We start from the raw sequence: 14,474 nt of genomic DNA, 5'->3' as shown, positions 1-14,474 counted from the left end.
TCCAGCTATTATATAATCAGTAACATCTCATGATCGAATGATGCTTATCTTAGGAATGCAAGGTTGGTTTAATATTTGAAAATCAGTCAGTGGCCAGCACTTTGGGAGGCCGAGGCGGGTGGATCACCTGAGGTCAGGAGTTCAAGACCAGCCTACCCAACATGACGAAAACCCGTCTCTACTAAAAATACAAAAAATTAGCCAGGCATGGTGGCGAGCACCTGTAATCCCAGCTGCTCAGGAGGCTGAGGCAGGAGAATCACTTGAACCTGGGAGGCGGAGGTTGCAGTGAGCCAAGATGGAGTCACTGCACTCCAGCCTGGGTGATAAAAACTCCGTCTCAAAAAAAAAAAAAAAAGAAAAAGAAAAGAAATTCAGTCAGTGTCATTTGCCACATTAACAGAGTGAAGGAGAAAAATCATATAACTTTTCAACAGGTGAAGAGAAAGCATTCGCTCCAACCCAACAACGCCTATTAAAATAAAAATCTCAGTGATGTAGAATCGGAAGGTCACTTGCTCAGTGTCATAAAGGGCACCCGATAGCTCACAGCAGACCTGACGCTGGAGAATGGATGACTTTCTCTTTGGGATCTTGAGCCTGGCAAGTAAGTGCACTCTGAGCACTGCCACTCAACATTGGCCTGGCTTGCACAGTGAGGCAACAAAACGTAAAACAGGATGTAACAGTGACTCTCTGTCTCGTTCTCTCTCTCCTCTCTCTGTCTCTGTCACTCTGCAGACGACCTGAATGTGATTTAGAGGGCCCTGAAGCATCTACAACGGCACATGAAATTGAAGCCCACCCTCCAAACCTCTTCACTCCCGCCGGCCCCCAGCCCACCACCTCCCTTTCTTCCCAGAAGAAACCACAACTCAGAATTTGGTATTTATCCATCTCATACCACGTTTTTGTTCCCTTGCTATGGGCATATGTAACCATCAAAGCCTACAGTGCTGCTCTGTGTGTTTTTAAACTCTGTGAATGATACCAAGCAGAAAATCTGCTCAGAAGCTCTGTGCTGACTGGGAGGGGCTGGAAGTAGGCATACGCCAAAGGCTTGGGGCCAGGCAAGGCTGGGAGCCCACGGCACTGGCCCTTAGCAAAGCCACAGACCCTTTCTGCTCCTTGCCACCCACCCTTCCACCCCGCCCCATGCCCCCAGTCACGAGGACCCACTGGGCTTGCAGCTGGTCAGCTTGTGCTTTAGTGGGGGAAGAGCCTCTCCAAGGGTGGGGTGGCCAGCTGGCCTAGAAGTGTAGGTCTGGGGGCGGGGGGAGCCTGGGTGAGCCTAGCAGTGTAGGTCGCGGGAAGGCGGGGAGCCTGGGTGTAAAGTGCTGCTTTCAGCTGCACCAGGGCCTCCAGGAACGGCAGCTCCATGACAGACCCCAGCCTTAAAGTGGGGACGGGTGGGACACACAGTTTTTGACAAATGAGGTTAATCGAGGCACAGTTTACGTGCAATAAAATCATCCTTTTAAAATATACAGCGAGGTGAGTTTTAATGAATGTATACCTGTGTAACCACGGTCGTGATATAGGACGCGTCGGTCACCCCTAGAAGTCTTGCCGTGCCCATCGCAGTCAGTCCCCTGCGTCTGCGCCCCCAACGTGGATCTGCACCCCATCCTGTAGCTTTGCCTTTTCCAGACGTCAGTTGTACAGAACCATCCAGCACGTGGCTCCCTTCACTGGCTCACTGGCTTAGAGATTCAGCCACGTGGCTTTGAGGCCTGCTCCAGCGGCTGTCCCATCATTGCTGAGCGGTCTTCCTTCCAATGGATGGATCACTGTTTTCAGAGGTGAAATGGACCAAAGTCCGGACCATGTGCAGAACCAGAACACACTCAGTAATAAGAAAGTGGCTACCTGAACACACCCCTCACAGAGGAGATCTGCAGAAGGCAAGGAAGCAGTGGGGAGACACTCCACATGGCACCATTAGGGAGCTGCAAATTAAAGCCCCATTGCGATGCTGCTACACGTCTCTTAGAACGGCCTAAATCCAGAACACAGGTGATGCCAAGTGCTGGCAAGGATGTGGAGCAGCAGGAACCCTCCTTCGTTACTGATGGGAATGCAAAGCAGTACAGCTATTCTGGAAGGGTTTGGTGTTTGCTTACAAATGTAAACACGCTTTCATCGTATGACACAGAAACCACAGTCCTTGTTCACCCAAAGGAGTTGAAAACATATCCAGACAAAAACCTTTATAGTGGCTTTATTCATGGCTTCCGAAACTTGGAAGCTAGCACAATGTTCTTCAGTAGGTGAGAGGTTAAATAAACTGTGGTCCATCCAGACAGTGGAATATCATTCAGTGCTAAAAGACATGAGTGGTCAACCCATGAAAAGACATGAAGGAGGCCGGGTGGGGTGGCTCACGCCTGTAATCCCAGCACTTTGGGAGGCCGAGGCAGGTGGATCACCTGAGGTTGGGAGTTCGAGACCAGCCTGACCAACGTGGTGAAACCCCATCTCTGCTAAAAATACAAAAATTAGCCAGGCATGGTGGAGCACGCCTGCAATCCCAGCTACCCAGGAGGCTGAGGCAGGAGAATCACTGGAACCCGGGAAGCAGAGGCTGCAGTGAGCTGAGATCACCCCACTGCACTCCAGCCTGGGCCACAGAGCAAGACTCCCTCTCAAAAAAAGAAAAATAAAATACATGAAGGCAGCTTAAATGGATATTTCTAAGTGAAAGAGGCCAATCTGAAAGGGCTACACACTGTGATTCCAACGACATGACATTCTGGCCAGGGCAACACCGTGGGGAATAAGAAGGTCGGATTGCCTGGGTTGCAGGACGGGAGGGATGAAGAGGCAGAGCCCAGAGTTGCAGGACGGGAGGGATGAAGAGGCAGAGCCCAGAGTTGCAGGACGGGAGGGATGAAGAGGCAGAGCCCAGAGTTGCAGGACGGCAGGGATGAAGAGGCAGAGCCCAGAGGAATTTTGGGGCAGTGAAGCCCAGCTGTATGACGCTGATGTGGTGTCCACGTTGGTCAAAACCCATAGAATGTACACGAAGAGTGAGCCCCGACGGGGACTGTGGGTGAGGACGTGTGGATGCAGGCTCATCTGCTGAGATGGGGGACGGTGGCAATGGCGGAGGCTGTGTACGTGCGGGGACTGGGAGCACATGGGGCATCTCTGCACCTTCTGATCAATTTTATTGTGAACCTAAAACTGCTTTAATAATGAAATTTTATTTAAAAAAAAACAACAACACTGGCTCACAGTCTGCAGCAGTGAAAAGCACTAACGTCTGCCGCAGCCAGCCCCAAATGGCCAACACTTGATTAGCAACTGACGGCTTCCCTAGGTTTTGTCCCCACTTCAATTCATATTCCACCTCTACACAGGTCCCCTCCCTAATCCCAAAGGACACCTCCTTCTGGTCAGCCACCTCCAGCTCCCCAGGCCAACAGCCTCCGTTGGGGCTCGCCTGGAGCCTCCCCATCTCCACTCCGGAGCTTCCCACCCCCCCGCCTGCCTTGGAGGCTCTGCCAGGCAGGCAATGGTGGCTGGCTGTCTAGCTACAACAAGCTCTGAGTAAGCGGCCTCTGCCTGTTCTCATTTGGGAAGTCTTCGTTCCTTTGCATAGTTCCTGCAGGCACCAATGGGTGGACGTTCGGGCCCTTCCCGGCTTGGGGCTGTGATGACAAGGCTGCCATGGGCGCTGGTGTGCAGATCTTACAGGGATGAGTGCCTGCTGTTCACCGCGTCTTAAAGCTGGACCCTGCTCTGTCCTGCCTCTCTGGCTTCCTGGAGCCTCTGGGTGGCCTGATCGGCTCAGGAATCCAGGACCACATACCCCAATGCGGGACAGAGGAAGAGCCAGCTCCCTCCCTCCGGTTCTTGGGTGGACCTCAGCGCCTCTTTGGGGTTCAGGTCATGCCCGGGCTCTGGTCCACTGCTTGTCATCTCAGAATTTCTTTCTCTTATTCCCTGGAACTGGGGGAGTGAATTCCATCTGCCTTCCCTGTCCTGAATGAGGACCAAGGCTTGTGGGAGACATTGTCCCGCCGTGGAGAGCCCGGACCCCTTCCACCAGCAGGGATGGCAGGCAGGCTCGGGGCTGGTGGCTGCCTCTGTCCCAGAGTCCCCCTTGAGCAACTTATGCTGTGGGACACCTTTCTCTGGGCACCTCTGTCTGCACAAAAGCCACCCTCGCTCTGGCCATTTTACCCCAAATGAGGACACGTTTTGATTTTTGGAAGACTTTTGCTGCCATGAGAATTAAGGTTAATGCTTCTCAAAATAGCTTCTCTGCAAATAACTGACAAGCTCACTTGGCCCAAAATGAATCTGAAGGGGAATTAAAAAGCATCTCTTTTCCCAGAAAACAGATTCCTCATTGACACATTTTTTTTCTCCTGTTGATTTTTCCCTGTTTCCAAAATGGAGCCTTTTTCCTCCGTCTTTTATGCGAGGAACCGGCGCAGGAAGACAAAGTCCACTTGTCAGCAATATTCTGTGAGTCTCTGTTCTCTTTCCCTCTGGGGTCGCCCTGACAATAGGGCCATTATCAGATAGCTCCCTTATTCCATAGATTTTTCCTCTCCCCTCCAGGGCTAATGAGGAGAAAGTTTGCCAGGCTGAACAAAGATGGGAAGGGTTTTCACTCGCCTGGAGCCCCAGCGTGGCCAGCTCCAGGCAAGGGCCATTATGGGGAGGTTGGGTACTGTCATTCGATTGCTGTGAGTGACTTTTGGGAGCAGGGCCATCCATCAGTTCTGTGATCCACATAATTTGTCCTCTGAGAGCGGAAACATGTTTCCCAGAGAGAAGCCTTTCAAGCTGTCTCTGGGCCTCAGGCTCCCGGGGCCAAGCCCACGTCTGACTGAGGGGGCTTAAGATCTCACCGACGCTTCGTCAATCACATCGGGAAGGGAAGGAACCTTGGAATATTGCAGCGCATTGCCCCCGCTAGTCCGGCAATGTGTAAACACTTCATGTGGTGGTGATAAGAACATAAAAATGCTCAACACCCCAGACTCGGGTCTGGGATCTTGTTCCGAGATCAGCCTCTGCGTGGGCCCATTTGGCTGCACCAGGAGCTGCCGTTGAGGACCTCAGCCCCCCGGCTTCCATTTACCTACAATTAGAGCCTGCTCTGGCCCCTTGGTGGACTTGGGAGGCCCTGGTGATCCCAGAATCCCTGCTGGGTAATGGCCCTCACAGCAAGTGACCGATTCACTCATCCCTTCATTCATTCATGCAGGCAGCCTTCTCCCAAGCATGGGCCCCAAGCCAGGCTTTGGGGACTGAGAGGTGAATCAGGGAGCCCCCAGGAGTCCTCACAGCCCCAAATCCAGTGCATGTGGTATTTTTGGACTCAGTGGATGGAGGCTAAGGGGTCCCCTGCGTGACCTGGGGCCTGAAGATGCCGGTCTACGAGGAGGCTTAGAATCGCTGAGCACTTCAGCTGTGCTGGAGGAAGGTGAGATATTTCCCTGCCTGTAAAAAAGCGTCTACAGCTGCCTCTCCTTACACAAATGCGAAGGGATAGATACGGGGGTGTCAGACAGGCAGCCCAGGGCTCTTGGCGTGTGGAAGAGGCGCTGCCCTGCCCCCTCCCATGTGGTCTGGCAGGTGGGGAGGATCTGTTGCTGGTGGTGTAGGTCCTGGGAGTTCGGGGCTGCCCCCTGGGGGCTGGAGTGGCTGAGGAGGGTGGCACGAAGGGGTCAGGGGTGGGGAGCTTCAGGGAGTGGGGAGGGGAGGCTGCGGGCAGGAGGGTCCGTGAGGGCTCAGGTAGGTGAGAGGTTCCCATAGGCATGGCCAAGGCGGTAGCTGTGGTGGTGGCTGATGTGAGCAGGTGTCAGGCATCATAAAGATCAGTTTTATAATCAGCCTGGGCCACTCTCAAACAGGGGTCCTCGGAAGAAGATGCTGCTGGGAGACGGTCGAAGGCCGGCAGTGTTGACTCCAAAGCGAGGCTGTCGACCGCGTGTGGGTAATAACTGCCCACCTCCCTGGAACCCCAGCCAGGCCTGTGTTCCAGGCACTCGGGGGTAAGGGAGGGGAGAGGTGGAGGGGCACAGCTCCAGAGGCCCGGCCCACTGGGAGGGGTGGACAGGAGGGAGCCCAGGAGACATTCAGAGGCCCTGGGTAGGGGTGGGGGTGGGAGGCCAGGTCACCTGGGTGACATCAGTTAAACTCTGTGTCAGCAGGGAGCCAGTGGGGGCCTACGTGGGTGAGACGGTTTGGGGCAGTCCTGGTTGGGGAGGCTGGGCTCGGTCTGGCTGGACATTCCCCTTTGAGGTTTACGCCCCCTAGGCTTCTGGGTCAGAGCAGAATCAGGGTAGGGGAATGGAGCCTCTCCCAGAGGCAGGAGGGCCCCAGGAAGGAATCCCAGGGGCAGTCTGGGGGTAGACAAGAGAAGCCCCTGAGGGGACTGGGTCTGCTCCAGCCCCGGGGCCTCTAGCTCACCCCCTATCCCACCCCTGTGGCTGTCCCTTGTCAGGGCAGCATCAGGCCATGTGAGGTGCTGGTGGACACAGACTTCAGGGAGGCTGACATGGGGAGGGCCACCCTTAGGAAGGGGTGGGTTGAGGACTGGCCTAGAACAGAGGCCCCCAGACCCCAGGCCATGGGCCAGGACCAGTTCTTGGCCTGTTAGGAACCGGGCCACACAGCATGGGGGGCGCAGCGGAACCCAGCTTCCTCTGTGTTTACAGCCACGCCCCATCGTCTGCATCACCGTCTGCACTCCACCTCCCATCAGATCAGTGGCGGCGTGAGATTCTCATGGGGGCGGGAACCCTATTGTGAACTGCGAGTGCGAGGGATCGAGGCTGCACGCTCCTTGTGAGCATCTAATGCCTGATGATCTGTCACTGTCTCCCATCACCCTTAGATGGGAAGGCCTAGTTGCAGGAAAACAAGCTCAGGACTCCCACGGATTGTACACTATGGTGAGTTGTAGAATTATTTCATTATATACTCTAATGTAATAATAATGGAAATAAAGTGGACGATATATGTAATGCATTTGAATCAGCCCCAAACCATCCATCCCCTGGTCTTTGGAAAAACTGTCTGCCACGAAACCAGTCCCTGGTGCTAAAAAGCGTGGGGACTGCTGGCATGGAAGACGGGTTCCCCCAGCACCTCCAACAGGGAATGCTGCATCCCCAGGAAGCCTTGGGGCAAGGCCTGTGGGGTGGGCCCTGGGTCCTGTGTACCTGGAGGCAGGCACAGTTGGGGGACATGCCTGGAGGCTGCTGCATCTGGAGGCTGTCATGCTTGGCAGAGGGACACACCTGGAGGTCACTGTGCTCGCTCTGGGGCCATCCAGGGAGTTGATGCCTTCCTGAGCTTATTCTTTTCTGGAAAATGGGAATAGCCAGGAGTCTGCCCCGGAGGGTGGAGGGAACAAAGCTCCAAGGGCATCAGGGCCTGGCCCCGGGACTCCTCAGTCAAAGCCAGGGAGCCTGGACCTCGGCCGAGCCCTGGCTTGCTCCTCCTCTCCCTTCCACAGGCCTGGGGCCTCTCCCTCAATGAAGCTCGCGGGCACCGAGGCTTAGAAAAGCACACAGATTTATTGCATATCAATCTCATGTATAAATTCATTGGAGCATTGGAAAGATTACATTTGGTATACAGTCCTATTCTACAGCATTAACCTCCAAATCGGCTTCTCCTAGGCTTTCTCTTAAGGAAATGTCTCTACACAAGTACATTTGTGTTCATCACAAGCATCAGAATGCAATTTGCAAAATTGTTCTTTTCATGATTTCCTACACTTCACGTCTTATTTCATTCTTCTCCCACAGCGATTTCCGTATTAATTGGGAACTGCGCCTCTTTCGCGTCAGCAGTTCAGGACTCCTAGTCTCAGACGTAGATCCTAATCACATATTCAATAAGTGCATCTACAGAATTTTCCTTTTAATAAAAATTTCACCAACAGACACGATAATGACCGCTAAGCAGGAGTCATGCACAGTTTACTTATAAACAGAACAGAAGCAATTTACAATCAAGGGGGACATGGGGCGAGCGCCAGCCTCCTTCTCAATGGTCTTTTTAAACATTATATGAAAACCAGACATTTACATTTGATTTCTTTTTCAATACTATACAGTTCTAAAAGAAAAAACAAAACAAAACAAAACTAAACCAAATCTGTAATGTAACAATGGCAGAAGGTGGCGGGCGGCACAGGTCTGTGATTCTGCGAGGATTCTTTATATCGACCTTAAGGGACAAAGTCCATATACACACACGCTTTAAATTACGACTCTGACACCAGGGCTCAGCATCCCTCGTGCCGAAAGCGCAGTGGCAATGCACGTGACGCTGAAGGCAATTGTTAGAATGACTTTTGTTCACAAGTGAATCACACGTTTGGAAACTCAAGCTGCCTTTTATTTATTTATTTATTTATTTTTTTCCAAAAGTGGTAATACGGATCAGTGACAGAAAAGAACAAAACAAACACAAAAATGGAATGGAAGGAGCAGAGGAACTCTTCTAGGAAGAATGCAAGGATGGTTTTGTCACAGTATCACTCATTGCTACAGAGACACAGTTTCATGGCTTTTGATACCCGGCTGACCTCCACTGACCAGGAGCAGCTATGTCCTGGCGTCCCTGGCTGGGAGGAGAGCCTTGCCCTCCCCCACAAGGCTGCAGTGCAGGGGCGAGCTCTGCTCTCCCTCCCCCTAGGACAGCACAGTGAATATAGCTCAGTAGGTTTCAGTCACTTGGGCAGGGGGACGGGACAGAGGGGGCAGGGGACCACAATCCAGTGCTTTGAGGCTTCGAGTCTAAAATACGTGATATGTATTCAGGCAAGTGTTTTGCAGACGCTCATGGGGAAGCGGGGAAGGCAGAGGACGCCAGGGCCCTTGGAATTTCCAGGGCTGGACTCTGGGGACGTGGAGGTCTTGGCCAGTCGGGGTCTGGATGGGACAGCTGCACGCGTGGCCTTGTAAAGGAAGGCCTCTCCAGCTGGGCAGTCTCTCAGGCCACACCACGCCCACCCCAGCCACTGCTCCACACCCCAGGGCCCCAGGCAGGGTGCAGGGGCTCGATCCTCTGGGTTGAAGTCAGTGATATCTTGGGTCCCACTCATGAAGGGTCTGCCAGGCCCACAGAGGAGGAACCCCACGTGCCCAACCTGGGGATGAGAGCAGGAACGGGTGGGGACGTCGGCTCGCTGGGGGCTGGGGTCTGAGGAGCAGCGGAGGGCAGGTGCGAGGAGGCCTCCTTCGGAATTTCCATTTGGGGGATGGGGGTTGACAATCCAAGGAGTTAGCATTGGGGCAGCATTTGGGCTGAACGGAAGGGCCCTGGACCCCTGGCTTGCAGCCCTGACCCTGGCCACCTGGCCATGGACACAGCCAGCTGCCCCGTCGCATCCCTGTCCATGCTGCACAGTTACATGGCCCCGTTACGGTGTGGTGACAGCTGGAGGCCAGAATCTCTGAATTCTCACACCCGGGCCAGGCTCCCTGGCCCTTGTCATCTCTGGGCACCAACACTGCTGGGCAGAGCAAAACTGGGAGGGCGAGGCTCGCTGGGGCCTGGGGCCACACTAAGTGTCGGGGCCGTGTTTTGGGGCGCACCAGCCCAGGAAATAAGTGCTGCCTTTGTCAGGGGCTCTAAGAACAGGGCCTCCTGAAAACGCCAAGTGCTGGGGCCTGGGGGTCTGAATGCTCAGGAGAAACTGGGCTTGCCATCATTTTCAGGGGGACGAAAATATATGACTTAAAACGTGCAACCAGGACTCTTGGGAAAGGTGGAAGGAAAGAGCGCCAAGAGAAGACAGGACGGTTAGGAAGACAGCCGAAAACGGCGGGATGGGACTGGGGGATCCGGAGACCAACGGTAAGGGCGGCTCTCATCGGTTCTGCTCCTGCTGAAAAGACACGCTGAGGGCTCCATCCGTCCGAATGTCCCACTTCAGAGAGACGGGGTCATATTGCAAAAAAAAAAAAGCACACACCTTACTCTTTCGCAGAAGAAACCATATAATTTGGGTTTACAGAAATGGGGTGTTTATGTCTGAGGTTGAATTTTTATAAGAATCCCATCTAGATCAAGGGAAACTGGAAATTCCTACGGGGTACCTGGTGGGTCTGACCCAGGGGATGTTGTGGAAACGCGTGAGAAGGCCTGAGCAGTTGTGTTTGCAGATCCTGGATCCTTCCCGACACGCCAGCTGGCTCTTCTGCAGGCAGCTCCCCCGCTGCCCCGGCGGGGCCACCCCATGGCCCCAGCGCACGCACAGGTGGGTCCTGTCTTGCCTCGTTGTGCAGATCTGGCGTGGGAGGAATCCCTTTCACTGTGATCCGTCGGGTTGAGCCTCCTGCAGGAGCCTCCCCGTGGCACGTCTTCAGTGCAAGCCTGGACCACCCGGCACCCACAGAGACGATTGTCTTTTGTCCTGGAGCAGCCAGGACACCTCCCGTCACCGCTGGGGACAGCCTGAGGAGATGTCCACGCGTGACACAAAGCCTGAGGAGATGTCCACACGTGACACAAACCCACACCAAGGCGGCTTGCACCACTCCTGTTTGTATTTACGCTCTTTTTTTTTAAAGGGCAACTTGGGCATTTTTTTTCTCTTCTTTTTGGGACTCTATCATCATTTTTTCTTCCAAACAATACAAGAAATAAATAGAACACTTGTCTTAAATGCAAATGTAACTGAAACGCAAATTTAACAAAAACATATGATTGTCTGGTAAACGGCAGCAGGGACAGCAGGATTCATGGGGGGGACGGGGGTATTTGGCACATAAAAAATCGCCCCACTCCCACACGACACACAACCTTATCACACGGTTTTGGTCCTTCACCAGATACTTATATTAACATTATTTCTTCACAATAAGAATGTCTAATGCCAAAAATACTGTTAAGGAGGAAATAAAATAAGAAAAGAAATGAATTAGAAAAAATTACAAGTTATATACAGATTAAGGTAAATTCCATCAGGGAAAAAAATTATTATTTGAAATTGGCCCCTATGGGAATAATTTAAAGCCCATCCGAGTGGGGAAGAAGTTGCGTCCCAAGAGAGGGAGGCGGCTGGGCCCGGGGGGCTGTGCTGTCTCTGCTCCTTGCGGCAGGTTCCCCCGACGCCCTTCTGTTCTCAAGCTGTGTCTCGCCAAGAACCCGCAGGAAGAGCGACGTGACGACTGTGTCGTCCATCCGGAGTCTCAGGCACAGGTGCGGCTTGGTGGCCCGGAGCGATCCGCTGGGATTGCTCCCCAGGGCAGCCACGTGGAGGACACCGGAGCCGCTGGGGTCAGGTGGGAGGTGGGAGACCCAGGACGTGGCCAAGGCCCTGCCTTCAGAGGACGGCGCTGGGTTCCCGCGTGGGGTGGCCGAGGCAGGGACAGAGGAGGGAAGGAAGATGGGTGCCCGGCCACATCTCTGCATGGCGGATCCAAGCCACAGGCCCTCGACTTCCCCATATAATTGAGGGATCTTGGGTGGGGACCTGTGGATTCCTCTGAAGGCCACGTGGCGGTCCTGACACCAATTCCATGTCACACGAGGGCAGGCACACTTCCCATCCCAGCCTCGGGCAGGCCTGCAGCCCAGGGCGCCCTGCCTAAGACTTCTTCGGCCGTCTGCATGGTTCACGGGTGTGGCCCCGCGCCTCTTGTTCTGCCTCGGGGCACCCAGCATCACCTTGGCTTATACAAATAGGGACAGAGATAGAAAATTTCTCCATTATCTACAGTATAAAGAATACACCCAGGCACAGTGCGGGTTCCCAGGCAGACTCGGGTTTGCAAATGAGCTCAAATTTCAAAGCAATGCAAAATTACTTTTAAAAAACAATTTGCAAGTCATTTTTTGATTTTTAAAAAATACTGTCTATTTTTAAAACCACATGCTTAAATAGACTCTGCAGTCAATACGGTTACCAAAAGGGTTATTCTTGTCATTTCATTATAAAAATCATTTGAGTGATCTCTCTCTTTTGAGCACACCAGTCTATCCATTCCCTTCCGCGACCCCACGCGGGCACCCGGCAGTGGCCACCAGCTTCTGTCTCAGCAGAGCGTCCACCTGCCCACTGGCTGATTCTGCGAGGCAGCTCCGTTGGCTGTCTTTGGACGGCCACCTGCATGGCCGTCACTGAACAGTGTTCTCAAGACCAATCCTTGGAGATGGTGAGACTCTACGACTGCTTTAGGGACTTTTGGGATCTGAGTTTCCATTGGAAAAGTCGGAATGAACCATGGTGGGTGGGGAGGATGCTGAGGAGTGGCCACACGCAGGGACAGGGTTCTCCGGGGCCCCGCCCGCCTCCGTCCTTCGTGGCTGGTGCCCTCGCTCTGGCCACCGGCCCCCGGCTGCCCAGCCCGTCAGAGGTGGTTGATGGGGTGAAATGCTCCAGACTCCGACGTGGCTCCAGTGACCTTCAACCAAGCGTCCAGAGAACCCTGGGAGGGGGTGTGGAGAGGAGTGTCTTCGGAAAGGGACAGCATCATTGCATATGCCTGGCGGGGAGGGGATGACACACACACAGGACAGGCAGGTGAGCGCGTGGGCAGGGCGGGCCATCCCAGACAGGCAGGTGAGCGCGTGGGCAGGGCGGGCCATCCCAGACAGGCAGGTGAGCGCGTGGGCAGGGCGGGCCATCCCAGACAGGCAGGTGAGCGCGTGGGCAGGGCGGGCCATCCCAGACAGGCAGCAGATGGGCAGGGCAGGCCATCCTGGACAGGCAGGTGAGTGTGTGGGCAGGACAGGCCATCCCCGGCCAGCAGGGCCAAGCCTCGTCCGTTCCCAGCCTCCCGTGGCCCTGGCCTGGCTCAACCTTGCCCTGGGCCACAGGGGGCAGAAGGAACAAGAGGGACTAAGACCCGGATTCTCCCCGCAGCCTGGAAGAGGAAGACATGAGCAGGCGTGACGGCGGGAGGGACGAGGGCCGCCCCCTGCTCCGAGTGATGCCAGGACATTGGGGTGCTGGTGCAGGGCCTCCTGTGCACACCAGCTCCCTTGGCTGCTTTGGGGTGCTCCCCCTCGAAGCCTCCTCTCCTTCCCACCCCTTCCCCCTGTTTCCTCCACCTGGTGATCAGCAGAAACTACAGACACGTGTCTGGTTTGGGACGGCCCTGGGAACTGGGGGTCAACAAGAGCCACCCCTGCCAGGGGATGTCTGTTTTGGTGACCGTGGGGACACCAAAGAGCTGCCTCTGGGACAGGGATGTGCAGCGTTTCTGGGCCAATGGGATTCTTAGGAAGTACAGATGTGTTTCCAGGCGTTAGTTCATGGGACATCCTTCTGCCCCCAGCACAGGGCAGGTGGGGATGGGACCTGGGGAGCATCGTGTGTGGGTTAAGGGCAGGGAAGGTGGGGAAGCCCAGCACTGTCCTACCCGAGTTAACACTCCAGACAGAATTAGTAAAAAGACAAAGACAGACACGCAGACGGCTTTTGCTGAGACCTGGGGCGGGCCTGTTCCCTCTGGGAGGGCTGTAGAGTGCTGAATGAGACCCTGAGTCCCTACAGACTGGAGAGAAATGCGGGAGCAGGGCCCTGGGGCCACCTACCCTGAGGAGAGAAGCCGAGAAGCGCCTGGGGCCAAAACCCTGGCACCCTCGCTGACCTCATTGCTCCAGCTGGGAAGCAGAGACTGCCCGGCTGGACAGCTCTTCCCCCGGGAAAAGCCCGGGCTGCAGGCCACTGGGGCCCAGATCAGAGAGGGAGGGAGACGAAGGCGGCTGGGCGGGCCAGAAACCTGCTCACAGACCTTTCCCACTGAGGACCACAGGAAGGTGAGCTGCCCGTGTCCATGAGTGAGCTCCCTCGTGAGGGTCCTGCCAGGGTCATCGGCTCTCAGCCCCTCCCTGCTGCGCCCCAGCTTGCGGGAGGGCGGTGGTCGCTGGGGCCTCTCTGGAGGATGCAGCGTGGGGGCGTTTGCGTGACCAGAGCTTCCTCAGGCCTAGGAGGGCCACGGCGGGAGAGGAGTGCTGGCTGTCCTCTGGCTGAGGAGGCCAGGTGGGGTGGGGGAGGGGCTCTGGCGGGTACCTACCTGGTTCTTAGCCTGCCTGCACAGTGTATGTTTTAAAGCCTCAGAATCTAAGGTGGAATTAAGCACATCTTTAACTTCAAATGCTTCCTCAGCTGCTCTGCGGAGGTCCAGCCCCTTCCCAAAAGTCGGCATCGGCTCCAAAGCTAACAGACCGCCTTCGTGGTCCTCAGCACACCTGCACCAATGACCGGGGAGAGGGAAGGCCTGCTGTCAGCAGCCTGGCCTTGGCCGCCTCTCTGATGCTGCAAGCCCAGCTCCGGGCCTGCATGCACGCCGCTGCATCTCTGCCAGCCACATGCACAGGGAGACAGACACACGGACACACAGACGCCTGGACGGGAAGGCACACGGATGCAGGAGAGTGACGGACAGAGGTCAGGGAGGGGGTGAGTGCGTGCACACGCATCAGGCAGCAGGCAGGGGGCTCAGGTCTTGCCAGTGGAGGGTGGAGAAGAAGGCTTCAATTCT

General features: G+C 55.1%; 1 protein-coding gene across 2 annotated transcripts in view, besides 2 other annotated features; it reads right to left on the bottom strand.

The window, feature by feature from the left end:
- Nucleotides 4,790-5,552: an enhancer, noted in NCBI's record as "H3K4me1 hESC enhancer chr1:3357159-3357921 (GRCh37/hg19 assembly coordinates)". NCBI's record gives its function as "activates a minimal SCP1, AML or CMV promoter by ChIP-STARR-seq in primed H9 embryonic stem cells {active_cell/tissue: H9 hESC(primed)}" and the evidence as "EXISTENCE:reporter gene assay evidence [ECO:0000049][PMID:30033119]".
- PRDM16 (PR/SET domain 16) overlaps nucleotides 7,526-14,474 on the bottom strand; it is a 369,419-nt gene continuing 362,470 nt past the window's right edge. Inside the window, exons 16-17 of one of the 2 annotated variants that reach the window (NM_022114.4) lie at nucleotides 14,007-14,181; nucleotides 7,526-12,470 (exon numbers count right to left, since the gene is read on the bottom strand). In NM_022114.4, the coding sequence (NP_071397.3) occupies nucleotides 12,336-12,470; nucleotides 14,007-14,181 (310 nt within the window). In that variant the 3' untranslated portion in view covers nucleotides 7,526-12,335. The remainder of the gene's footprint in view (nucleotides 12,471-14,006; nucleotides 14,182-14,474) is intronic. The other variant, NM_199454.3, reaches the window with a different exon arrangement.
- Nucleotides 12,187-12,696: an enhancer, noted in NCBI's record as "H3K27ac-H3K4me1 hESC enhancer chr1:3350015-3350524 (GRCh37/hg19 assembly coordinates)". NCBI's record gives its function as "activates a minimal SCP1, AML or CMV promoter by ChIP-STARR-seq in naive H9 embryonic stem cells {active_cell/tissue: H9 hESC(naive)}" and the evidence as "EXISTENCE:reporter gene assay evidence [ECO:0000049][PMID:30033119]".

This window comes from Homo sapiens, chromosome 1 (genome assembly GCF_000001405.40).
Source record: "Homo sapiens chromosome 1, GRCh38.p14 Primary Assembly".
Classification (NCBI taxonomy): Eukaryota; Metazoa; Chordata; class Mammalia; order Primates; family Hominidae; genus Homo; species Homo sapiens.
Note: the sequence above shows the minus strand (reverse complement) of the source record. Positions and strands in the feature narration are given on the sequence as shown.